The 25,514-nt window shown below is 52.6% G+C and overlaps 1 protein-coding gene and 1 long non-coding RNA gene across 16 annotated transcripts in view, besides 6 other annotated features; one reads left to right on the forward strand and one right to left on the reverse strand.

Moving 5' to 3' along the window:
* SNHG29 (small nucleolar RNA host gene 29) overlaps positions 1–20,597 on the forward strand; it is a 31,662-nt gene extending 11,065 nt beyond the window's left edge. For 5 of the 10 annotated variants that reach the window (NR_027171.1, NR_027175.1, NR_045023.1 and 2 more), the window contains one exon: positions 20,251–20,597. This is a non-coding gene — a long non-coding RNA (small nucleolar RNA host gene 29). Of the gene's footprint in view, positions 1–10,841; positions 11,195–12,781; positions 12,891–13,112; positions 13,267–20,250 lie in introns of all 10 variants that reach the window. The other 5 variants (NR_027176.1, NR_027173.1, NR_027177.1 and 2 more) reach the window with 5 other exon arrangements.
* The window catches only part of LRRC75A (leucine rich repeat containing 75A), a 50,617-nt gene that overhangs the window by 8,475 nt on the left and 16,628 nt on the right, over positions 1–25,514 (reverse strand). For all 6 annotated transcript variants that reach the window (NM_207387.4, NM_001113567.3, XM_017024620.2 and 3 more), the window contains one exon: positions 12,207–12,335. In NM_207387.4, coding sequence (NP_997270.2) covers positions 12,207–12,335 — 129 coding nt within the window. The remainder of the gene's footprint in view (positions 1–12,206; positions 12,336–25,514) is intronic.
* Positions 6,330–6,831: an enhancer, noted in NCBI's record as "H3K4me1 hESC enhancer chr17:16359695-16360196 (GRCh37/hg19 assembly coordinates)". NCBI's record gives its function as "activates a minimal SCP1, AML or CMV promoter by ChIP-STARR-seq in naive H9 embryonic stem cells {active_cell/tissue: H9 hESC(naive)}" and the evidence as "EXISTENCE:reporter gene assay evidence [ECO:0000049][PMID:30033119]".
* Positions 6,832–7,331: an enhancer, noted in NCBI's record as "H3K4me1 hESC enhancer chr17:16360197-16360696 (GRCh37/hg19 assembly coordinates)". NCBI's record gives its function as "activates a minimal SCP1, AML or CMV promoter by ChIP-STARR-seq in naive and primed H9 embryonic stem cells {active_cell/tissue: H9 hESC(naive and primed)}" and the evidence as "EXISTENCE:reporter gene assay evidence [ECO:0000049][PMID:30033119]".
* Positions 13,704–13,998: a silencer, noted in NCBI's record as "tiled region #7543; HepG2 Repressive DNase unmatched - State 12:CtcfO, and K562 Repressive non-DNase unmatched - State 18:Pol2". NCBI's record gives its function as "represses a minimal TATA promoter and a strong SV40 promoter by Sharpr-MPRA in HepG2 and K562 cells {active_cell/tissue: HepG2 | K562}" and the evidence as "EXISTENCE:reporter gene assay evidence [ECO:0000049][PMID:27701403]".
* Positions 13,704–14,038: a biological region, named in NCBI's record as "Sharpr-MPRA regulatory regions 7543 and 3494".
* Positions 13,744–14,038: a silencer, noted in NCBI's record as "tiled region #3494; K562 Repressive non-DNase unmatched - State 18:Pol2". NCBI's record gives its function as "represses a minimal TATA promoter and a strong SV40 promoter by Sharpr-MPRA in K562 cells {active_cell/tissue: K562}" and the evidence as "EXISTENCE:reporter gene assay evidence [ECO:0000049][PMID:27701403]".
* Positions 15,660–16,451: an enhancer, noted in NCBI's record as "H3K27ac-H3K4me1 hESC enhancer chr17:16369025-16369816 (GRCh37/hg19 assembly coordinates)". NCBI's record gives its function as "activates a minimal SCP1, AML or CMV promoter by ChIP-STARR-seq in primed H9 embryonic stem cells {active_cell/tissue: H9 hESC(primed)}" and the evidence as "EXISTENCE:reporter gene assay evidence [ECO:0000049][PMID:30033119]".

A 25,514-nucleotide genomic window follows, 5' to 3' on the forward strand; every position in this document is an offset into this window, starting at 1 on the left:
GAGGGCAGGTGAAGGCCTGGGGCCTGATCACATCTGGTCCCTCCATGGTTCAAGCCACTGTCAGCCCTGCACACCAGACATCACGCAAGAAGGTTATGGAATTCCCACAGCACCCCAAGGCAGTAGATACTTTCGTTATTCCCATTATGCAGTGGGGGAGCCTGAGGCCCAGAGGGCTGGGGATGGGCTTGGGGCTGATGGGAAGGCAAGAGAAGGAGACTCTGAGGAAGGGGGACAAGAGAGAGAGGAGTTGGGAAGATGGCAGTTGAATGTCCAAAGGAGAGAGGCATCTGTGGAGGGACCCAGGAAGCAAAGGAGGGCCCGAGACTGAACAGAACGGATTTGGAGGAGGCCCCTGGGCTCCAGTTCACAGCCCATCCCCACCCCTGCCCCCAGCTTCCTGGTGCCTGGCTGTCTGATGAATAAGCTTGTATCACCTGCCACTTGCACCTGTATCACACCTGTGTGTTACACCTGTCACTCCTGTGTGTCACTCTTGTGTGTTGCAGATGTGGGGGCAGGTGAGCATCTGCCTTTACGGCTTCATTCCCCACCCCTGGAGCTGACATCTTTTGGTTCCTAGACTTAGCTTCTTGCTGAACCTGGCCACATGACTGTGTGGAGGGAAGCAAGGCGGGTGAAGCAGGAGGAGCTGGTCATGGGGGCTGCAGGGGAGTCCCTCAAGGGGGATGTTCCTCAGACTGGGAGATGGAGAGAGGGGTGGACAGGAGGTGGAGAGGATGACTCAGGGCCAGGCTATTGGAAGGGGCTGAGGGGACAGAGGCCACACAGCTGACTGATATGCTGGATGGAGAAGGTGTGGGCAGGGAGGGTGAGGAGGGTCTAGGCTTTGGGCTTGGGACATGAGTAGAAGGCAAGGGGCTCAAGACAAGAAGTGGGTGAGAAGGCAGGAGGGGGGTGACCTGCTCATGTGGGGCCATGGTAAGTTTGAGGAGCTCACAATACCTCCAGCTGTGGATGCCACTGGACTTATGGGGTTGGGGCTCAAGACAGGTCCAGGCTGGACACATTCATCAGTAAGATTAAACCCCTGGCCAGAGAATGAGCTAAGCAGGAGGGAGAGAGAACAGTGGACACACAGCAGTCAGAGAAGACTCCATCAGAGCAGCAGGAGTAGTGGAGTCTGGACACCAAGAAGAGTGACTAATGGGGTTAGACCCCCACCCAGAGGCCACTGGGTCTCCAACAAGGAGGCCATGGCCAGCACAAGTTCAGGGAGTGGGGCCATGGTGGGAGCCGACCTTAGAGCTCAAAGGGAGAATAGGGGCCAGGCACGGTGGCTCACGCCTGTTAATCCCAGCACGTTGGGAGGCCAAGGTGGATGGATCACCTGAGGTCAGGAGTTCGAGATCAGCCTGGCCAACATGGCAAAACCCTGTCTCTACTAAGAATACAAAAATTAGCTGGGCGTGACGGCGGGCGCCTGTGATCCCAGCTGCTCCGGAGTGCTGAGGCAGGAGAATTGTTTGAACCCAGGAGGCGGAGGTTACAGTGAGCCGAGATCGCACCACTGCACTCCAGCCTGGGTGACAGAGTGAGACTCCATCTCAAAAAAAAAAATAATAATAATAATAAATAAATAAAACAGAGAATAGGAGGTGACACTGGAGATGGCCCATCTAGAGCTGTGCTTCTTTACCTTGGAATCTTTCATACCGGAATCTCAGGGGAGCTTTTTTTTCTTTTTTTTGAGACGGAGTATCGCTCTGTCGCCCAGGATGGAGTGTAGTGGCGCGATCTTGGCTCACTGCAAGCTCCGCCTCCCGGGTTCACGCCATTCTCCTGCCTCAGCCTCTCCAGTAGCTGGGACTACAGGCGCCCGCCAACATGCCCGGCTAATTTTTTTGCATTTTTAGTAGAGACGGGGGGTCTCACTGTGTTAGCGAGGATGGTCTCGATCTCCTGACCTTGTGATCCGCCCGCCTCGGCCTCCCATTACAGGCGTTAGCCACCGCGCCCGGCCTGGAATCTCAGGGGAGCTTTAAAGTCCACTGATGGGCCAGGTGCTGTGGCTCACTCTTGTAATCCCAGCACTTTGGGAGGCTGAGGCAGGAGGATCACTTGACCCCAGGAGTTCAAGACTACCCTGGGCAATATAGTGAGACTTGCTCTCAAAAAAAAAAAAAAAAAAAAAAAAAGCCCATCATGGTGGCATGTGCCTGCAGTCCCAGCTACCCGGGAGGCTGAGGTAGGAGGCTCTTGAGCCCCGAAAGTGAAGGCTGCAGTGAGCCGTGATCACACCTCTGCACTCCAGACAGGGTGAGACCTAGTCTCAAAAAACCAAACCAAACCAAACAACAACAAAATAACACTGATGCCTGGGCCACCCCAATGATGGGTGGGTGGCTCAGGCACAGGGATTTTTTTTTTTTTCTTTTTGTTTGAGATGGAGTCTCACTCTGTTGCCCAGGCTGGAGTGCAGTGGCGCGGTCTTGGCTCACTGCAACCTCCATCTCCCAGGTTCAAACGATTCTCCTGCTTCAGCCTCCCAAGTAGCTGATTACAGACGCCTGCCACCACACCCCGCTAATTTTTTGTATCTTAATAGAGATGGGGTTTCACCATGTTGGCCAGCCTGGTCTCGAACTCCTGACCTCGTGATCTGCCCGCCTCAGCCTCCTAAAGTGCTGGGATTACAGGTGTGAGCCACCCTGCCTGGCCACACGGGGATTTTTAAAAGGTCCCCAGGTGATTCCCTAGTGCAGCTGAGGTGGAGAAGCACTGGTTCAAAGACCATGGGTGGGATCAGGTGGTCTGCCCAGCATCACTCCTGGAACCACCCCAGGACAGAATGTAGCCAGTCTCCAAAGCTTAGAACTGAGCCCCTCAGCTGCAGCTCCTCCTTCAATCACTTCCCAGGGTTTCCAAAATCTGGGGCCAAAATCCCTGTCCACCCTCTCAGCCTGGGCAGCTGAGCCTTAAAAGAAGAGAATAGAGGCCGGGCGCGGTAGTTCACGCCTGTAATCCCAGCACTTTGGGAGGCCGAGGCAGGCGGATCACAAGGTCAGGAGTTCGACACCAGCCTGTCCAATATGGTGAAACCCCATCTCTACTAAAAATACAAAAATTAGCCAGGCGTAGTCGTGGGTGCCTGTAGTCCCAGCTACTTGGGAGGCTGTGGCAGGAGAATCGCTTGAACCCGGGAGGTGGAGGTTGCAGTGAGCCGAGATCGCGCCACTGAACTCTGGCCTGGGCGCCAGAGTGGGACTGGTGTGGGACTCCTAAACACACACACACACGCACACACGCACACACGCACACGCACACACGCACACGCACACACACACACACGAGAACAGAGGACAAGGGGGCATCACTGCACTGCCATTGCCACAAGGGGGCAGCCACGCACAGGGCCAGGCTCGGGATGGAAGTGTATCTGCCACTACCAGGGAGAACTGAGGAGCCTGCGTCTCCTCACTGGCTAGACAGGAACAATAGATATGGACACCTCATAGAGTTGCCTTGAGAGCACAAGTGAGCTGATGTTCTCTCAGGAGTGAGAGTTCCCTTCTGCTTGTCTGAACTAAACTGACAACAGCTAACATGTATTGAGCAGCTGCGATGCATTGGGCATCTCCTCTGAGCACTGTTTGCATGAACATTTTGGGGCTCAGAACACAATTCCAAAGCATGGCGCCGGGGCCAGCAGAGAGCTTTGAACTAACGGAAATTGGAAGGCCTCAGAAGCAAAGTTTTTCTGCCCTTCTGCTGCCCTCCTGTCTCTGGCCCTTCTTCTCCCCCAGAGTGAGTCAGAGAAACCAGAATTCTTCTTCCCCAAGGCAGGTCACAGAGACCAGAACCCCTCTCCCTCAAAGCAAGCCATAAAACTAGGCAGGTCACTCTCTCCCTTCTGTCTTGAAGACCATTCCAGAGGGGTAGGAAGGAACACTGCAGAGAGAGGCCAAGAAGAATCTGAGCAGATAGCCTTCCTGGGTCCCCTCGGCCTATCACCATTAGATCACACCCTTTGTCCAATCGCATTTCTACAAGCTTGTGCACTCTTTACCAAGCCTGAGTATAAAAACAGATAGCTGGCTGAGTGTGGTGGCTCACGCCTGTAATCCCAGCACTTTGGGAGGCCGAGGTGGGTGGATCACCTGAGGTCAGGAGTTCGAGACTAGCCTGGCCAACACGGCGAAACTCCATCTCTACTAAAAATACAAAAAATTAGCTAGGCATGGTGGCGGGCACCTGTAGTCCCAGCTACTTGGTAGGCTGAGGCAGGAGAGTTGCTTGAACCCAGGAGGTGGAGGGTCCAGTGAGCCGAGATCACGTCATTGCACTCCAGCCTGGGCAACAGAGTGAGACTCTGTCAAAAAACAAACAAACAAACAGGCCAGGCGTGGTGGCTCATGCCTGTAATCCCAGCACTTTGGGAGGCAGAGGGGGGCGGATCACCTGAGGTTGGGAGTTTGAGACCAGCCTGACCAACATGGAGAAACCCCATCTCTACTGAAAATACAAAATTAGCCAGGCATGGTGGTGCATGTCTGTAATCCCAGCTGCTCGGAAGGCTGAGGCAGGAGAATCGCGTGAACCCAGGAGGCAGAGGTTGAGGTGGGCCGAGATCACGCCACTGCACTCCAGCCCGGGCAACAAGAGCAAAATTCCGTTTTAAAATAAATAAATAAATATAATTAAAATAAACAAATTCTAACAAACAAAAAACCAAAAAAACAAAAAAACCTCTTTCCCTGGGGTTTGGGGTCTTCATTTCTTTCTTTTTTTAAAGAGATGGGGGTCTCACTATATTGGCCTTGCTGGTATTGAATTCCTGGACTCATGTAATCCTCCTGTATCAGCCTCCCAGGTAGCTGGGGCTAAGGGTCCTCATTTCTTTTCTTTTCTTTTCTTTTCTTTTTTTTTTTTAGTGACGGAGTCTTGCTCTGTCCCCGCCCTCAGGCTGGAGTACAGTGGCACCATCTCAGCTCATTGCAACCTCCGTCTCCCAGGTTCAAGTGATTCTCCTGGCTTAGCCTCCCGAGTAGCTGGGATTACAGGCGCGTGCCACCACGCCCAGCTAATTTTTGTATTTTTAGTAGAGACAGGGTTTCACTATGTTGGCCAGGTTGGTCTTGAACTCCTGACCTCAGACGATCCGCCTGCCTCGGCCTCCCAAAGTGCTGGTATTACAGGTGTGAGCCACCGTGCCTCACCTGAGCGTCTTCATTTCTGAAAGCTCCCATGTTGCGTAAAATTTTGATTAAACACATTTGTTCTGCTTTTTTGTTACCCTGTGTCTGGTTATAGGAGTGTCAGCCATGACCCTTATAATGAGTGAGGGAAAAGTACCACACAGTTCTGCCCTACAATTTTTTTTTTTAGACGGAGTCTTGCTCTGTCGCCCGGCTGGAGTGCAGTGGCGCAATCTCAGCTCAATGCAACCTCCATCTCCCAGATTCAAGCGGTTCTCTTGCTTCAGCCTCCCGAGTAGCTGGGACTACAGGCACCCGCCATCCATGCCCGGCTAATTTTTTTTGTATTTCTATTAGAGACGGGGTTTCACCATGTTGGTCAGGCTGGTCTCAAATCCTGACCTCAAGTGGTCCACCTGCCTCGACCTCCCTAAGTGCCCTACAAACTATAGTCCCATACCTTACTACAACCCTATGAGACAGGTATTATTAATAACCCCGCTTTACAAATGAGGGAACTGAGGCAAAAAGAACTTAAATAGATGGGCAAGGCCTCCCAGCTTGTAAGACGGAGTCAGGATCTAAAGTCAGCCAGCTCTGAGGCTGATGCTCCTAACCGCTATCTGCTGCCCTCCTTGTGAGAAATCCTGTCTTTGGCTTAGGTCAGTTCAAAGTGTTTCTATCATTTACAACCAGAAAAGCCTTCAGTGAGACTGTCTCATTTTTTCCCAACTCTTCCACTTTTCAAAGAACCCCTCCAGGGCTCCCTCCTGCAGAGAACAGGACTAGGCAGCACTGGCCCAGAAGTGGAGCAGTAAGAAGGTGGGGAACGGGGGGAGGGAGAGGAGGAGAAGGAGGAAGAGGAAGAGGGAGAGGAGGAGGAGGAAGGGGAGGGGGAGGAGGAGGAGTAGCAGTAGTAGGAGGAGGAGGAAGAGGAGGGAGAGGAGGAGGAAGAGGAGGGGTAGGAGGAGGAAGAGGAGGAAGGAGGAGGAAGAGGAGGAGGAAGAGGAGGAAGAAGAGGAGAAAGGAGGAGAAGAAGGAAGAGGATCAGGAAGAGGAGGAGGAGGAAGAGGAGGAGGAAGAGAAGGAAGAGGAGGAGGAGGAAGAGGAGAAGAAGGAAGAGGAGGAGGAAGAGAAGGAAGAGGAGGAGGAAGAGAAGGAAGAGGAGGAGGAAGAGAAGAAGGAAAAGGAGGAAGAGGAGGAGGAGGAAGAGGAGCAGAAGAAGGAAGAGGAGGAGGAAGAGGAAGAAGAGGAGAAGGAGAAAGAAGAGGAGGAGGAAGAGGAAGAGGAGGAGGAAGCTGGACTTGACACTGAGACACACATACCCTAACTCCTCCAGTGGCTGGAACCCTGAGAAGTAACCTGGGAGCCATAGCTAGCCACATTCCCTACCATGCGGCAGGGGGAAGAGCAGTCTGTGCAGAGGGAACACAGAGGGAGGCAGGGTAGAGCAGCGAGGAGGGAAGGAGGGACCTCTGCACCGTGCTTATCTATAGTTCTAGCACCTTGGTCTAACTTGGCTGCCCGTGGGCACCACAAGACACCTCGATATCTGTAGAACACATTTTCTTCCTTGCTGGAGCCAGCCCGCCTGGGCTTCTGTTATGTGCAGCAGAATCCTAACCCGCCCAGAAGGCTCAATGGCTGTGTGCTGAATCAATGCTTTGCAGTCCTCCCCCGATCCCTGAAGATGGCAGGAGTGGGATGTGGCACAGTCAAGTGACTATGAGTGCAGGTCAGGGCAGCAGCCTCTCCAGACCTTCCCAGTGAGGCTGCCCAGGTCCTGGGGCAGAACGTGTTTGAGGGGCTTCTCATTAATCTGTCAGGAAAGATGACGTGCTGACCTGCAGGCTGACCTGGGAGGGGTACCAGCACCCGACACTGCTCTGGCTCTCAGCCATCAGGCAGTGATACCATCTGCCATCTTCACTCCCCAGGCACCTCTGTAACTGCTCCAGGACCCCGACAAGCACAGCCCTCCACTGCCCTCCATTCAAGGCTATCCCTCCCTCATCCATAAATTCATTCATACATTCATCAAATGTTGACTGTCCCCCTCATTACACTGGACACCATTCCAGATGCAGAGACTGTGTGCCGGCTTTTCTGTTTCCTCTTGCCCCACAGTCCACTCTGCCCTTCTCTGCTCAGAAGGCTGGGCTCTAGAGACTGCATCACTGGGCTCTCTTCCCCCTGGCTTCCACTTGGGTTCAGCTAATGGGAGCAATGGCAGCAAGACCAGAGGGCAGGAGGAGAGACGGATGGGGGAGTTTATTCTGATTCCCCCACTTCGGCATGTGCAGCCGCCGGCCTCCAAGACAGCCTTGCTGCTCTCGGCTCCTGGCATCTGTGCCCCTGTGTAATGTCCTTCCACATTGTAGCAGGGCTGGTCTAAGTGAGCAACAGAATCATTAGAACCAATAGAATGGTGGAAATGATGGTTTGTGACTTCTGAGACTGGGTCTTAAAAGGTATTGTGGGGGTTGGGCTCACACCTGCAATCCTAGTGCTTTGGGAGGCCAAGGGAGGGGGATTGCTTGAGGCCAGGAGTTTGAGACCAGCCTTGGCAACATAGTGAGTGCCCCGTCTCTACAAGAAAAAAAAAAACAAAAAATTAGCTAGGCATGGTGGTGCCTGCCTGCAGTCCCAGCTACTTGGGAAGGTGAGGTGGGAGGATCACTTGAGCCTAGTAGTTCCAGGCTGCAGAAAGTTATGATCACACCTCTGCACTCCAGCCTGGGCATCAGAGTGGGACCCTGTCTCAAAACAAACAAACAAACAAATACAAACAACAACAACAACAAAAAAGCAAGGCCAGGCATAGTGGCTCACACCTGTAATCCCAGCACTTTGGAAGGCCAAGGTGGGTGGATCACCTGAGGTCAGGAGTTTGAGACCAGGCTGGCCAACATGGTGAAACCCCGTCTCTACTAAAAATACAAAACATTAGCCAGTTGTGGTGGCAGGTGCCTGTAATCCCAAGCTACTTGGGAGGCTGAGGCAGGAGAACCGCTTAAACCCGGGAGGCAGAGGTTGCAGCGAGTCGAGATTGCGCCATTGCACTCCAGCCTAGGTGATACAGCGAGACTCTGTCAAAAGAAAGAAAGAAAGAAAAGAAAGGAAAGAAAGAAAGGCATTATGGCTTCTATATTATCACCTGTTGTGGGATAAGCCAGCTGCCATGATGTGAGGACACTCAAGCAGTCCCATGGAGAGGCTACAGGGCGAGTGTGCCGCCTTGGAAGTAGACCTGCCAACTTCTTTTTTTTTTTGAGACGGAGTTTCGCTCTTGTTGCCCAGGCTGGAGTGCAATGGCGCGATCTCAGCTCACGGCAACCTCCGCCTGCCGGGTTCCAGTGATTCTCCTGCCTCAGCCTCCCGAGTAGCTGGGATTATAGGCATGCGCCACCACGCCCGGCTAATTTTGTATTTTTAGTAGAGATGGGGTTTCTCCATGTTGGTCAGGCTGGTCTCGAACTTCCAACCTCAGATGATCCACCTGCCTCGGCCTCCCAAAGTGCTCGGTGGCCTCCCAAAGGTGTGAGCCACCGAGACTGGCAGACCTGCCAACTTCTGTTAAGCCTTCTGACACCTGCAGCCCTGACCAATGTCTTGAGAGACCCAAAGCTAAACTACCTACTTAAGCGGCCCCTGCAAACCTGACCTACAGAGACTATAACAATAAATGTCTGTTGTTTTAAGCCACTAAGTTTTGGGGTAGTTTGCTATATGGCAATGGATAATGCAGCGTGGCTCTGGACCAGGTGTTCTCACCCTGCCTCTGGCAATACAGCTTGTCCTCCTGTGAAACAACTTCCTACTACTGCTGTCTTTGGATGTCTCAATGTCCCCTGTTGACTTCCTTTATCCTGTCCTCAACCCTTTACTAAACTCTCTTCAAACTTCACAATGGAATATGTTGCCTGCTTCCTGCCTGGTGCAGGTTGGAATTATGAACAAGACAGACACCCTTCCCTTCAGAGTTTATATTCTAGTGGGGAAAACAGACAATAAATTAGCCAACAAATAAATAAGCAAGGTAATTTCAGAGACCAGTAAGTAAAACAGAGAAACGAATGGAAAAATAAATGGGGCTCGAGACAGGCTGATCAGGAGCCTACACTAGGCAGGCTTGTCAACGAAGGCCTCTCAGAGGCCGTAGGCTCAGTCTGAACTCAGGAGAAGGCAACTCAGACAGAAGAGGCTGGAGCAGTCAAAGGGAGCAGCGACGTCCCTAAGATAGGAGAGGGTGTGGAGGTGTCAGGAACAGAGGAGGGAGGCCCACGTGCTAGAGCAGAGCTCGCAGGGTGGCAAGTGGGAGAGGGGAGCTCAAGAGACTCAGGCAAAGCCAGATGAGGAGTTTGGGTTTTGTTTAAACTACAGCACAGCCCCTCACTAAAGGATGTTCAGTGAGGTCCGTGTAGTATCCAATTTACCTTTGGAACGAGCTCTCCGGTCTTGACACCTCTGCCTATAATCTCTAGACCCATAACGTGGGCTGACATGAACTTCTCAGATGCAAATTGCTCTGACCAGGATGTCCTGGTCAGCCCTCTGGGGTGGATGGAGGGGCTGCTCCTACCACCAGCCTGGGGACCTCCCACCCCTGCCTCATCCAGAGAGCCTCGCTTGCCACATGGGCACGAAAGGGGCCTTCCAGGTCTCTGGGCTTTAGCAGGGCTCACCCACTCTGGCTGGCTCTGATTTTGTTTTGAGGAAAACAAAGTCCAGGTGTTGAAGTGGTCTGAGGAAGGTTACACCATGCAATGGACTGAATGTTGGTATCTCCCCAGAATTCACGTGTTGAAACCTAATCCCCAGGGTGATGGTATTTAGAGGTGGGGCCTTTGGGAGGTGATTAGGCCAGGGGGGTGGAGCTCTCACAATGGGATTCCTGCTCCTTTGCCCATTTCCTGCCATGTGAGGACACAGGAAGGTGACTGTCTGTAACCCAGAAAAAGGTCCTTGCCAGTCACCAACCAGGCTGGCACCCAGATCTCAGACTTCCAGCCTTCAGAAGTGTGAGAGATAAATTTCTACTGTTTGTAAGCCACCCAGTCTACGATAATTTGTTACAGCCACCTGAATGGACCACAACAACCCAGGTATGCACCCCCTGGCCCCGCCTCTACCCAGATGGAAAGGGAAGATCAGAAGGCAGGAGTTCCCGCCCCTCCTCCTGGCCTTGCCTGGTCCTGTCTCACAGGGTCTCACAGTGGCCCTTACCCACTCCCTGGCCTGCCTCTCTCTCTGAGAGGGTGGGTCCTTCTCCCCACACAGGCTGTCCATGAGGCAACCTGTGAGGGGCAGGTTGGGGAGGGAGGGGAGCTCGGCTGCTCCCACCAGGCCCCTCCTCCTGCCCCCATGGGCACTGACCACCCAGGGACCACCGGCCTGTGTCCCGCCCGGCTCTGGGTCACTGCATAGGCCCAAATCACACCTGTGGTTCTCCTCGGAGGTGTAACCTTGCTCAGATCACTTGATTACCTGAATTTTGTTTTCCTTAACTCAAAGATGGGCATATACATAGCCCTCCTATTTCTTTTTTGCTTTTTTGAGAGCCCCATCGCCTTTCACCCTCTCATCTGTGAGCAACTCCATTGCTGCTCTAGGAAAGGCAGAGTCTGGCACCTGGCAAGGCCTCCTCACAGGCCTGACTCCCGTCCCTTCCCACCTCCCTAGGCAGAACCGGGTGGAACTGCATGAGAAGCGACGGAGGCGCCAGCCCCAGCCAGCTCCCTGTGGCTCCTGGCACCAATCAGGCCTCGAGGCTTCCTCAACACCAGCTTTCCTTCCCCTCCCATTGGGCCCTGCATCCCTGCCTTCTGCAACATTGTGCTCCTGACCCTGGCTGGCTCCCAGCCCTCCACAGCTGGGCCCCACCTCAGAGCCTTTGCATCAGGTAGCCCCAGAGTCAGAGAGAAGGCCCCCGACAAAGCCGCAGATGGAGCTCAGCCCCAGGAAACACCTTTCCAGAGCAAGGCTCCAGCTCACTGTAGGACCACAGTCAAGTCTGTATCCAGGCCGAGCGACAGGTGGGCTTGGGAACCATCTCACTCCCGGCCTAGATCCTACACCAAAAGGAAAAACTTCCCTCCCACACCCCTTCGTCCTGCTCTGGTTTCCTGACTGCCAGTGGGGAAGCACTTCTTTTGGAAGCCACTGGAAATTGAGGGATGAGACAGAAAAAAACCAAAGCAACAGAGAAGCGCTCAAGTGTGGAAATGTCCCCAGCCGGCCCTCCCCTTCCCGCCAGGTCGGGCTGCATAGCCCTGGGGGAGCCTAGACCTGGAGCTGCAGGAACATGGCAGAACCTCCCATCCAGGCAGGGCTGAGCTGCAGATCTGGAGCCTGGAGAGCCATGGAGCTTTCCCTTCCGAGCTCCCAGGGCCAGTAGGAAGAAGACATGAGTGAAGGGGTGGGTGTCAAAGGACACTCAGCCTCAGAGGTGAAGACATCTGGGAGTGGTGGGGACTGAGGCAAAGCGGACAGCCCCATGCAGGGCCCCGGACGGCCTTCTATGACACCTTTGTGCAAATAAGAAAAAGTTCACCTCCAGGGAGACAAGGGCTTGCACCAGGGCTCATGGCTTGGTGGGTAGAGAGAGGGCTGGATTTGAACTTTCCCCTGCCTCCCCCTACCCCACTACCCCTCTGTACGCATGCTTTCGTGCAAGGTACAACCTGTACAACTGTATGTGGTGGCCTTGGCCCCATATAACAGGGATGGCTACTTAGCTCCAGCCCTGCAGAAATGAGGGCTTCATGTTGCTGGAGCTTCCAGTTTTTCAAGGGCAGCTGAATACAGGGATCATGTGAAAAATTCTGGTTTTTAAATGTTGGCAATGAATTCACCCCCTGGGCCAAACAAAACCAATCTGTGCTAGTGGCACCAAGGGAGAGCACCTCAAGCTCTTGGTGCCTGGAGGACGGGCTTGTCCTCCTTGGGCCTGTCTGCCAGTCCTCCTTGGGCATACAGCTGCTCTGCCCAGAAAGGCACCCACCGCACACCCCGGGACCTGGCTGGCTCGGACCACAGCCACCCTACCGGCTTGGGACAGTGGATGTAGCGTGCCAGGCTGATGATGAGGTCGTGTGTGATGGGGTCCACCAGGTTCCGGAAGCTGGCGTAGCGATACAGAACGTCGTCTAGCGAGGTCGACTCCATGCCCAGGTCCTGCAAGAGCAAAGGATGCCCAGAGGTCAGGGCTGGCTGCCCACCCAGCTCGCCCACCATCCCCAAGAGAAGTAGGCACAGACCCCTAGAGGCGACTCTGCCTCCCAGAGCCCCGGTGGGGAGCATCTGCAGAACTTCCCTCAGGGGCTGGGGCAGGCCTCTCCTGTTTGTCTTTGCCTCCAAGTTGAGGAAGAGCAGGGACTGGCCTCTGCAGGCTCTGCAGTTTGTGCAGGTCCTGGCTTGTGGCCCTCTCCTAGGACAGCCCCTGACCTTTGTCTCTCTGGTTTTCCAGAGGAGGAAGCCAAGGGTGGCCTGCCTCGGTGCAAGCAGCTGCTTCTCTATGGTGGCAAAATTTGGAATTAACTGCCTTGTGACAGGATGGTTTAATGATATTTATTTGTGTTTTCTTCCTGCTTCTGACGTTGTTTTTACTGCTCCTTCTGTAGCCGATGCAGCCTCAGTGTTCCTTTGCCTTGGGGGTTTCTGAGTGGTGGGGTTGTAAGCAGATCCTGCCAGGCACCCAGAAGGAAACCTCATCAGGACTCCCTCAGAAAGGTACTGAGTGGAATCTTCCCGATGGGAGGGGAGCAGCTTGGAGGCGAGTGCTACTAAGTGTGGTGGGGCCGCGGCAGAAACCGCTGGAGCAGAGCTTCCCTGGGTCTGAGGAAGGAATTGGGTTTGGGGGCTCAGGACACACCACCCCAGAATATGGTACCCTGGCATCTGAGGAGGCAGCTGACACAGGAAGGTCTCTCTGACTGCTGTTCTCCCCCAAAGCAGGCCCTGAAGAATCCTGTGACCTTCATCTAAAGTAGGTCATGAGACCCCTGAGCTTAAAACGGAGTGATCGGCTTTGGAGAAGTAAGGAGACATGACGTGCCTGCCCTGGGGTGGGGACTAAACTTCGTGCCACTCCACGTGAAAGGGGGAGGTACGCCTGCTCCCTTTCCTCAAGCCCCCCCCTCCCAATTTCTGCCATCCTTGGGTATGAGCTACACGACAGTCCCTGACCCTAGCTTGGTGCCCTGCACAGACCAGGCAATGCTGACATTCCCATCCGGAGACTGTCCTCACACCATCCTGGGGAACATGAGACATCCCTGGGTAGGGAGGCAAAGCAGGCCCACCCACTGCAGGCTGTCCTCATTCTGGGGGCTCCCACAGCTGCCCCAGCACAGCCCAGAGAAAGGCTCCCAGCCCAGGTGGCTGGGGTCCAGTGCCCTGGGGACGGGACGTCTGGGCAGGGAATGTGTGGGTAACCAGCTGAGTTTGCTCCTTGTCATTTTGTTTGTATTCTGAACTTTTAAAATACCTTCCCCACATGATTCTTAGAAATCCCTGGAAGGCACGCAGGCTGGACATCATCATATATTCTCTACAGATGGAGACACCAAGGCCCACGCCTTCTGTGCTGTTGGAATTTCAGGAAGGATGGGGGTGGGGCACGGCCTCAGCCCTGGGCATGTTCTGCAGATTGCACTGCTCTTATCTGCCAGGGGGTGGTGAGAGGGTGGCTGAGCTGGACAGATGGCGGGCAGGGACGGGCTCTGCGGTCTGGCAGCTGACATTGATACAAGCAAAAAAAGAGTCTTTGCTGGGGGCTCTGGAGGGCCTGGGTGTCATGCCTGGGGGTGGGAGGAGCCTCTTGTGGGGAGCCCCTTGGAGCCCAACTGCCAGCCAGGTCCTACCTGCCGTGGTTAGGGGGCACTCTGCCCCCACCCTCATTAACGCCTCAGTGAGGACACAAGAGGCCAGTTGTGAGGGCTGTTTTCCATATGGCAGGAATGAACCTTGGAGGCGAACTGCCAGGTCCTGTGCCAGGCTCTCTGGCTGCTGAAAAAATTTGCTGGGAACCAGGACCTGGGGGCTCAAGGTCTGTCATGGATGCAGTCAGGGGAGGCTTCTGAAGCACTGGCTGGTACAGGTTCTAGAGCTGCACCCCCTTGTAGAAGCAGGTACAATACCCGCCTTTGACCTCTGGCCCTGCCCTGGCTTTTTCAATCCCTCAGCCAGGGCTGCATCCTGAAGCAAGCAACCTGACAATGCTAAGCCTCAGTTTCCTCATCTGTAAAACGGGGACAGTGACCCCAGCATCACAAGGAGGCAAGGGGAACAAGACCAAGTGTTACATGTAAAGCCTCTGGCAGGGAACAGAGAAAGCAGCAGTGCCCTTTCTACTACATTTCTGCCCCCTCCTCCCTGGAAGGCCCGTCCTCACCTTCTGCAGGGGTTCTCGATCTCCTGGACCACAGACCCAATTGAGAATGTGTCAAAAGCCATGAGCTCTCTCCCTAGAAAAATTCTGGAGTCAGGGCTGGGCGGGGACCTGAGCACACAGAGTCCACACTGGCCTCATGGTCAGGAGGGTGTGTCAGAGCCGTGTGGACACGAGGGACCCCGGGACACAAACTATCACCCACTAATGTGCAAAATCACAGCCCTGCCTCCCTGAGGCGGGAGGAAGCTGGGGACACAGGAAGGCCGAAAGTCAAAGGACTTGTGTTCTACGGTCTCAGAGGGCCTGTGTGGTCAAACGAGCTGTGGCCCAGTGCCTGGTTTGCCAGCCAGTCCCTGCCTACAGCTTGAGGCTCCCCTTCCTGGGGACAGGGAGCTGGAGAAGGAGGGCAGATGAGGTGGAAACAGAGGGGTGGTTATTCCCATGGTCAGAGGCTGCACTGGTGGCCACGGGGAGGAGGCCAGAGGCATGGAGCTATTTTTCTTTTACACTCGGTCGAGCAGGCTGGGCTGCTCCTCTGTGGTTGGCAACTTAATGCCAGCCTCTATGCCTCCTCTGCTTTGCCCCTGGGCACCCCTCTCCTCTGTGAGCACCCCTGGCACCTAGTGGTCTCCCCCTTACAATTGTCCCTGCAGTCTGTCCCTAAATGACCCTGGGAAATAGCACTGGATTTTAGGCCCTGGCCAGCCCCAACTCGCTGTAAGTCTGTGGCAAGAGACTTCCCTCTTGGGATTCATTTCCCTATCTGTGAAATGGGCAGATGAACCACACTAGTGGTTATTAAACTGTGTTCCAAGATCTTGAGGCTGACGGTCAGGGGCTGCGGTAGACGAGAGAGGTGAGAGGAACCAGCAGGGCTGTGGGCTGCAGCTCTTACAAAGCAGCTCCTGGTTACAAACAAATGAACGCAGTTCTGTTCCAAAGAAAAGCTTGAAAGCCCTGGACCAGATGACTGCCTGGGTTTCTTGTGTTCCTACCAGCCCTGCCCCATCTTCCTGGACCCCCTACATCTCCAAGCTAGTCTAGGCCATCCCTGGAAGGACCAAGAAAATCCCAGTTGCCAACCCAGGAGGTTGGGCAGGTCTGTGAAGATGCCAAATGTCCTTTCCGGAGCCCACTCCCCTGCCGTCTCCCCGCGCCATCCCCCTGGTTGCCCAGCTGCTGACTGTGGCTCTGCCTCTCTGGAGCACTGTCTGGGTTCATGTGGTTGTTGCTTAGGAGGGGAAAAGGAGTGTAGAGGCAGGATGGGAGGGAAGGAGGAGGGTCTCCTAGAAAGGCAGCTCAGGGTCACTGTGAGTCACGGCCAACACCGGCCCGCCCTGTGAATTCCAGCTGGGGTGGGGCTCCCCAAGGTCCCAGGGCTACAACAGGGAAAGCCAGATAGAGGCTGGCCAAAGGCCATGGCACACATTATTGCTTTATTGCTTTATTTCAACCCCACCTAGGCCCACAGGATGCTTGTGCTAACTGAGGGCACTTCATAGTCCTGAGGACCTTGGGCTACTTCCTGCCTCCTTGATGTCCTCTCCATCCCCCCTCCCCTAAGCCAGGCTATTGGAGATGATGGTGTCACCAGCTGCTGGGACTACCCACAGGGCTGGGTGTGAGGGAGGAGAGGTCACCAGATCCTCAGGTGTCTCAGGAGGCTGCAGCCTGGGCCACAGCCCTGGGAATGGGCTCCTTTCAGACTCGGCACCCATGGCCTGCCCTCCTTCTCAGGAAGACACAGAATGGGGGTAGGCACACAAGGCCTGCTGCATGTGCAAGGGAAGTGGAAGAATCAGATCCAGGTGTGGTCCCTGCAGCCCCTCCTGTGCACTGTACTAGTCTTGGAGGGGCTGGTTTGTCTTAAAAAGCACAAGGCATTGAGGACAATCCCATTTTCCTCATGATAGGTCTAAACGGTACCACCTCTAGGAACTGTGCCTGTGGACAGTTCCTCATCAGGATGTCTGGGAACACCAGCAGGTGCACCTGAGTCACTGCTGGTGGGGAGTGACGCTCGGAGAGTGTGGCTGGCCTGACACCGAGTCACTCTCGGCTCCCTTTCCGAGCTGCCGGACCCAGCACACAGCAGCACACGGCATTTCAAAGAAGGGGGCCCTACATAACTGGAGCTTGGATAAACAGGTCTGGGGACTCGCTGCAATGGGAAGAGATGATGGGCTTGGGAATAGGGGTGCATGTTTCCAAAAAGTGAGTAGAGATTTACACAGGGCAGTCAGAATGGCATTTCTCAAAGTGTGGTCTGTAGACTTTGGGGAAGCACCCTTAAGACCATTTTAGGGGTGCTGTGGGGACCTCTTTTCCAATGACATATCTATGTGATGCCAGATTTTCTTCATAGATGTCAATTAAAACAACCTGTCGCAAGACCCAGTGCAAAAGCGCAAGTCTGATAGCCGTCTTCTAGAAAGTGAGACTAAAGAGAGTCACAAAAATGGGGAGCAACACCACTCTCCTCACTTGGTTTTTCTTTTCCTTTGGAAAATATAGTTATTTTCATAAAAATTTATTTTTTCACTTGTGAACTTGTTATTTTTTATTTTGAGACAAGGTCTTGCTCTGTCACCCAGGCTGGATTGCAGCGGTGCGATCATAGCTCGCTGCAACCTTGAACTCCTGGGCTCAAGTGATGCTCCTGTCTCAGCCTCCAGAGTAGCTGGGACTACAAGCGTGAGGCACTGTAAGGAGCTGCTGTTATTTTTTTTAGATGTGAAAACAACCCTATGAATGTAACAGCTGGCATTTTGCATTCACGTGTGTGCAAGGTAATGGCATGGAGTGTACATGATCACTGCCACTCACTCGTTGATGCCTCCCCACAGTTGGACTCACACCTTCACTCTGTATTCCTGTGCAGTAGGGAAGTCACCCAGTACATGTTTCCCCCCAGGAGGAATACACAGATGCTTTCTCTTCTGAGCTCTGGCCTCCCTGAGAATTCCTTCATGTTGATGACACACCTGAAGACAACCTGGCTCAACAGAAACTCCCTGCAAAATATCGCAGACTTGGCTACCCTCTGACTTTCAGTCCTGCAGATGAGAATGAGGCTATCTGATTTTTGTTTCTTTAGCTGCTTGTTCGGCCCTGGCGCCTGTAGGGCTGTCCTTGCCACAAAACCCCACTGTGCCTACTGGACAGCCCTAGCACACTGTCCTCTTCCTGGGAATATCAGTTCAGCATATAGGAGGCCTCTGAAGCAACTGATATCTCTACAGCAACTTCTCCAAGTCACCAAAGGGACATCTCATTCTTGACATCGCCCAAACTCCTAAAATCCCTTCCCTGTATCTTTCTTACTACTCCAACATCCCCCACTTTCTCATTTCCACCCTGAAAACCCAGCCAAAATCTTTCTAATACAAATAAACTTAACTTCTCTGGCCAATCCAGTTCTCAGATCCAAAAAGCCCCGTAAAATCCCAGAAAATAACAAGGGTTGGCAAGAATGTGAAGAAACTGGAAACTTTGTGCGCTGCTGGTAGGAATGCAAAATGGTGCAGCCACCATGGAAAATGGTGTGGCAGTTCCTTAAACAAATTAAACACAGAATTGCCATATGATCCAGCAATTCCACTCTTGGGAATATATACCCCAAAGAACTGAAAGCAGGCACTCAAACAGCAGCTATGTTTCCAGCAGCATCATTCACAGTAGCCAAAAGGCGAAAACAATCCGGGTGGCCATGAACAGATGAATGGGTACACGGAGTGTGGTCTAGCCACGCAACGAAATATTATTCAGCCTTAAAAAGGAAGGGGATTCCAACACATGCTACAGCATGGTGAACCTTGAGGACACAGGGACAAATAAGTGAAATAAGCCAGACACAAAAGGACAAATACTGTCTGGTTTCACTTATATGAGGTATGTAGACTAGTTAATTCATACAGACAGAAAGTAGAATGGTGGGTACTACCAGGGGCTGGGGGGAAGGGAAGGAGGAGTTACTGTTTAATGAGGACACAGTGTCCGTTTTGCAAGATGAGAGTTCTGGAGATCAGCTGCACAGTAAACAGTGTGAATGTACTTAACACCACTGAGCTGTATGCTTAAAGATGGTTGAGATAGTAAATTTTATGTTATGTGTATTTTACCACAAATTTTAAAAGGGGCCAGGCCCGGTGGCTCATGCCTGTAATCCCGGCACTTTGGGAGGCTGAAGCAGGAGGACAGCTTGAGCCAGGGAGGTTGAGGCTGAAGTGGGCTATGACGGTGCCACTGCACTCCAACCTGGGTGACAGAGCCAGACCCCCAGGCAGGCAAACATAGACACCTTCTTGGGATAGGAGGGGGCAGGGGAGGGTGCACATTCTATCTGGCCATTCTTTTTCTACCCCTGACACTTGGTTATTAAACATTTTTGCCACCATGTGTCTAGTGGCGGATCTGTTTCCTTTGGATTTACTTTCAGGTATTGGTCTGCAAACACAGACCTTTTTTCAAGCTGTCTCTTCCTCAGGAAAACCAACACTGGCTCTGTGTCTTCTGGATTTATCTTTTTTGGTATTCTGTGCATGATACACTTTCATCCAGGGTTTCCAGTTTGCCTTCCATGTCACTGATTTCACATCCAGCATCACCGCTCTCACTGCCCCCAAGAAGGATTGTAAGTCGCCTAGCATTTCATTTCCTTGCAATTCTTATTTTGCTTGTTAATCTCCCCTTTCATCTCATCCTGTTGGTTTTCTTTTCCATCACAGCTTGGCCTCTTTGGGTGGCCTTTTGTTCTTTTCCCACAAAGTTCATTTCTTCTGGATCGTGCTGTAGATCATTTTCAGAGGTCGGGGTTCAGGTTCCAGGGTATCTATCCTACGCTCAGGCTTCCCCCCTCCCCAGCTTGTGCACTCTCAAAGAGGCCAAGATCTAGTGACACCCACGTCTATCAGCGCATCCTTGTCCCCATGACGGCCTCCTTGGGTTGGGACTGAGTCCACCTCTCAGGGCTCTGGCTTGCAGAAGAGTCCAGCCCCAGGATGAGTCTCAGGCACTGTGCTTATGTGACTCTGACCTTGAGAAGGGACATCTTCACCCACTTCATGGCCTGAATCTCCAACACTCACAACAGTGAAGTCCATGGAAATCTATAACAATGTCTGTATGTTCAGGACACTTCCTGTCCTTGGGTAAGCCCACTGGCTGGCTGCACTGGACTTCTCAGATGCCATCTCTTCCCGCCTTGGGAGTTGCTGTCTCTGAACCGATGCAGACAGAGGCATGGGAGAGGATGAAGGGAGAGGGGAGTGGAAGAGCCCTCCTTTTACCTCCAAATTGTCACTTGCGTGGTACAGGACCAGTTGCCTGGCTTTCTGATTGGCACAGTCCACAGACTAAGGGAGAAAGTGGCTTCCTCCCTTCCTTCCGGAGGTCTCAGATTCCTGGGAGGAAGGCTGCATTGTGTCTTTCTTGGCCCTGCTCCATGTGTCTAGCAGTGAGGAGGCTCCTCTCAGACTGCCCACCTGTCTTTGTTTCCAGTGTGCTGAGTGTTTGTCTTTTTTTGGTGCATCGTCTTAGGTGTCTTAGGGGAAAGCTAGGGGAAGCCACAGAGGAGGCCGTCAGCCATACTCTATTTTAAACCTCAACTCCCCCCTTCCCTCTTAAACTCATTTTTAACCCCACTCCCAGAAGGAAGGCCCCGCGGGAAATTAGCTTTCATTTGTCTCTCTCCTCCAGGCATGACTCCACAGTTTCTGCAACAACAGAGCCGGGGAAAGGAGGACGCAGCAAGCGCTGAATATTAACCAGCAAAGGTAGATGCTTCAATATCGAAACCACCGGGACCCGCATGTGCAAAGCTACTTAATGAGGGTGTAATCAAACACAGTCTACCAGAAGGAAATTAATTAGAGTCCGGAGAGCAAGCAGGAAGCAGAACCAGGCTGCTCCCCCTCCTGGCTCTAGAACATCACTGGCAGCCACTGCTAAGGGAGGGACAAGGCTGGGGGATGCCAGGCCTCAGCTGGGTGCCAGGGCTCCTGTCCTCTTCCCCGTGACATTCCGGCTTGCCTTTGGGGGACACCCAGGGGAGGGAAGGGAAATGTCAGGTGCTGTTAGGGAAACACAGCCTGAGGAAGCCCCCAGGGAGAGAAGCTGGGACATCCCAGAGTTAAGGAGCTGGGCACAGAGAAGACTTGCTTCTCTAGGAAGACAATGGTCTCATAAGAAGAAGGACGGAATCATAAACAACAGAAATGTATTCTCTCATAGTTTTGGAGACCAGAAATCTGAAATCAGGGTGTTGGCAGAGCTGCACTCCCTCTAGAGATTCTAGGGGGAGACTTCATTCTTTCCCCATGTGCGACAAGGAAGGGAGGGATGCCAGGCACAGACCTATGCACCTAATGAGAGAAACAGATACAGGATGCAGTGGGATGAATGGTGGCCCCCAAAAGACATGCCCATGCGCTTGTGCCCAGAAACTGTGAATGTGACCTCATTTGGAAAAAGGGTCTTCACACACAGATTACCTTCAGGACCCTGAGATGAGATGATCCTGGTTTATCCAGGTGGGCCCTGAATCCAAAACAAGTGTTCTTACAAGAGACACAGAGAAGGCAGCAATGTGAAGGTGGAGGCAGAGAAGGGAGTGATGCGGCCACAACCACCAGAAGCTGGAAGGGAGAAAGAGTGAAATCTCCCCTGGAATCTCTGGATGGACACGGCCCTGCCGACACTCTCATCTCAGACTTCTGGCCTCCAAACCATGAGAGAATATGTTTCGGTTGGTCCAAGTCACTCAGCCAGTGGTCATTGGTTACGGCAGCCCCAGGAAATGAATGCACCAGATTGGATCAGGACAGAGGTGGCATTTTTCCCAGGGGCACACCAGGCAAAAGGGAGAAGAGATCAAGGCAAGTGGCCGGGACCCCTCCCTTCTTCCACAGCTGCAGACCTCAGCCAAGAGCACAGCTGTGGGCAACCAAGGACGTTATTGCCAGAAATCAACTTGCTGTCTCCACCAGCCCTGAAGCCTCTGTGGGTACACTCTCCTTTGCTGTCTGCTCCCAGGGGCAGGGCTGTACTAGTCAGAAATGCTTCCTATAGGATCCCCAAGGTGGTTCTCAGCTCAACATGGGAAAGAACCTTTAAAAACAGGTGATGAAGGAAATGCTGACACTGTCCACGACAAGGATGAGGCTTGAAGACTCCACTAAGAGAAATAAGCTCGGAACGAGAGGACAAATACCGCATGAGGCCACTTACGTGAGGGACCAAGAGTATCTAATCATTCAAAGTACTCAAATTCACAGAGACAGAGGGTAAAATGGCAGTTGCTGGGACTGGGGAAGGGGGAATTCGTGTTGGGTGGGGACAGGGTTTCAGTTTGAGGAAGATGAAAGAGTTCTGGAGATGGAAGGTGGTAATGGTTGCACAGCAATATGAATGTGCTTAATGCCACTGAACTGTGCACCTAAAATGGTTAAAACGGTATTTTATATTTGTATATTTTATCGTAATAAAAAAATAGTGCTGAGCTCACTGTCACTGGAAGGATACAAGCAGAGGAGAGACACTCATCAGCCGGCACTGCTGAGGCAGGATTTCTGGACCACAAGGAAGGTGGCCACTAAGGGTTGCCCTCTGGCCCCCTGTGACTCTTCTCATCAGCATGGCCCAGGATGCAGCATCCTGGCATCCAAGGAGGTGCCACTAAGTAGCTACAAGATGTGGGGCCTGGCGAGAGGAACCACAAAAGAACGCAGAAAAAAAAAGCAACAAAAAGCCAGTGACAAAGCTGCGTGGATGGCGGAAGGCGAGCAGGAGTTTGGTGATGCAGTTTGAAGACCGGGACTGAGACCCCCCCACTGGAGGGGTACGTGGGGTGCAAAAGCAGAAGTGGCACCAGTGGGCTTGACTGCTCCAGAGAGGGGCATTGCTCCTCAGTGCAGCAACAAGGCGCCTTTAGCCCCCTTGTCGTTTTTGGCCCCAAAAGTGCCACAGTTACACAGGGTGGCCCTGGAGCAAAGTGAGTGCTAATGCGCTGGGGCATACGGAAATCTGGTATTTCACACATTTGTCATGTTAAGGAGAATTAGGCGTATCAGAGTATCTAACAGATTGGCCTTCCAATCCCCATTTAAAACGGGTAATTGAGTAGCTGATTTTAAGCTTATGATTTTAAGCAGAACACCGGAAGTGGATTCAGCCAAGTTTGTAAGTTTTGAAATGTTTCAGAGAACTAATAGTCATCATATTTATCAGCTTATTAAATTTCAAGAACTATTTAGGAACCCAGGAAAGTCCTGCTTTTTAGGATGAGTATTTATAAACTTAAGAACACTGGTTATGTTAAATTTATAAAGTTACATCAAGATATTTAAAGAAATTTAATTACTTAAGTTATAAACCCCCTACCCTTGAACATCGACATTTAAATGGACTAGATTCGTGAGGGGAATAATGAAATTGGTATGTTAAATGCTTCAGGAAACACTAGGTTTAAAAATTTCCACTTCAATATATATTGAATATTGAGAAAATTCAAGTCGTTGTAAGTAGTCTGTGTGTGTGTGTGTGTGTGTGCGCGCGCGCCCCAAGAATAACTAATGACAGATAATGCAGATGAGGTGGGCACCCTGCAGAGTCCAGGGCAGGGAGCATCAGCACAGCTAGACAGGGAGGACTATGCAGTTAAGAGCCCGAGGCACACTGCTCAGGCTTGGAAGACACCAAAGCAAAGCAGACTAGCAAAAGTAATAAAAGCAACTGCTACATCCCCTCCCCCTAACAAAACCACTGGACGGCATGGGAACCCTGTTTGAAGGTGAGGCCTCCTCACAGTCCTGCTGATGTCTAAGGTGGGCATTGCCCGGCTCCTGGTCCCAGTCTTGGGGGTTGCCTCTCGAGGGCACCCTGGCTTGGTGCCCGCCACCCCCACAGGCCTGTGAGTTTGGTACCCAAGGAGGTGTCCATTAGCACCCAGCTGACCGAAGTCAGCCAGATGCTGCCAGGGAGGGCTGCTCTGCAGAGGTCTGAGCCAAGAAACTGCTGGTGGGGGGTCATTGGCACCCACTCCCCGCTCCACCAGACTTGCCCAGCCTGTCTGAGGGATGAGAGGTAAAGACTGGGGTTCTCTGGTCCCACCTGAGGGTCCAGGGGCAGCTCATGACTCTCCCACCTGTCCAAGGCCACGTGGCCCCTGCAGGTTTTTGAAGCCAGGCACCCCGGCAGGCTGGCCCTCCTCGACGGTGACGAGTGTTGCCACCAGGTCTGCCTTGCCCAGCAGGAGTCAGCGGGCTGGGCAGCGATGTTTGGCAGCTTTGCTCAGTGAGGGGCTTCATGACTGTGTGTTGTTTGTGTTTTAACTTTGAAGTCTTAAAAAATGACACCCTCTGTGTGAAACAGGCCTCTGGAAACAGATGCCCAGCCGTTGCCAAGTGTAACTTAATTAAAATCCGAGAAACGGCTTTAGCAACAAATAAATATCAAAAGGATGCTTTCTCTTCAGAATAATCTAAAGTAAGTTGGGAGGCGCATCAAGCCATATGAAGGGTTTTGTCTGCTCCTCCATGGTCATGGCTCTGCCCACACGTGGCTGACGGTGGGGGACAGACGTGGGTTAGATCCTAAGTCACTGTGTGGCCCTGGGCAAGCCACCCTCCTACACCACAGCTTCCCCACCTACAAATGAGAAGGTTGCACCAGCTCATTCTTCCAGAGTTGGAGAGGGCAGCAGAAGAGGGACTTGGACCAAATAGGTTTGGAACACAAAGAATTCAACAAATAACCATTTTCCTTTTCCTGCTGGACGTTTCAGCTACTGTTTTATGACTCCGAAAGGGTGGTGGCATTTGCAGTATTTCCCAGATTTATTTCCCAAGCACCTCCCCTGCTTCCCCAGGACCTCTTGTGGGACTCAGATTCTGCAGTATGCCTGGGGCCAGATGGTCTCTGAGGTCCACAGGCCCCTACATTCCACAAATTCTCAGCACTTTGTCACCCATCCCAGCGCCCTCCTAATCTCTCTGCTTGGGAAATTATCTGAATCGGTTGTTTATACCTTCTGGCAAATGCATTCAAGTCCATTTGTCCCTCTCTGCAGTACATTCTGCCCAAGTGAAATGAAACATTTGGTTCATCCTGAGGCCGGGCGCGGTGGCTCACGCCTGTAATCCTAGCACTTTGGGAGGCCGAGGCAGGTGGATCACGAGGTCAGGAGATGAGACCATCCTGGCTAACATGGTGAAACCCCGTCTCTATTGAAAGTACAAAAAATTAGCCGGGCGTGGTGGTGGGCGCCTGTAGTCCCAGCTACTCGGGAGGCTGAGGCAGGAGAATGGCGTGAACCCAGGAGGCGGAGCTTGCAGTGAGCCAAGATTGTGCCACCGCTGCACTCCAGCCTGGGCAACGGTGCAAGACTCCGTCTCAAAAAAAAAAAAAAAAGAGAGAAACATTTGGTTCATCCTCAAAGGATTTTCAGGTAAAATGGCAAAGAGGTAGAGGAACGACTTAGAGGATCCTTCTGGCTCCCTAACAACCTGAGTTCCAAGCAGGAGTGTCTTCATAGGAACAGCCCATTTCTCAGAGTGAAAAGCTGGGGGCTGGAAGGTTGTCTCATACAGTGAGCTAGTGGCAGGGATGGGGCGCTCCAGAGCCCCTAGAAATTTCTGACTCTGCCTCTATGAGCCCTTGGAAGTTAAGTATTAGCCAGGGTTCTCTCGAGACACAGAACTGATAAGATGTGTGTGTGTGTGGAGAGAGAGGAAGGAATTGATTTATTTTAAGGAATTGGCTCACATGATTGTGGGGGCTGGCGAGTCTGAAATCTGCAGGGCAGGCTGGGAAGCTGGGGACCCAGGAAGGAGCTGGCAGTGCTGTCTGGAGTCTGAAGGCAGAATTTCTTCTTCCTCAGGGACCTCTCTTTTCTCTTGGAGCCTTCAACTGATTGAATGAGGCTCACCCATATTATGGAAAGTAATCAGCTTTTATCCATTTAT

Source organism: Homo sapiens, chromosome 17 (genome assembly GCF_000001405.40).
Source record: "Homo sapiens chromosome 17, GRCh38.p14 Primary Assembly".
In the NCBI taxonomy this organism is placed as follows: Eukaryota; Metazoa; Chordata; class Mammalia; order Primates; family Hominidae; genus Homo; species Homo sapiens.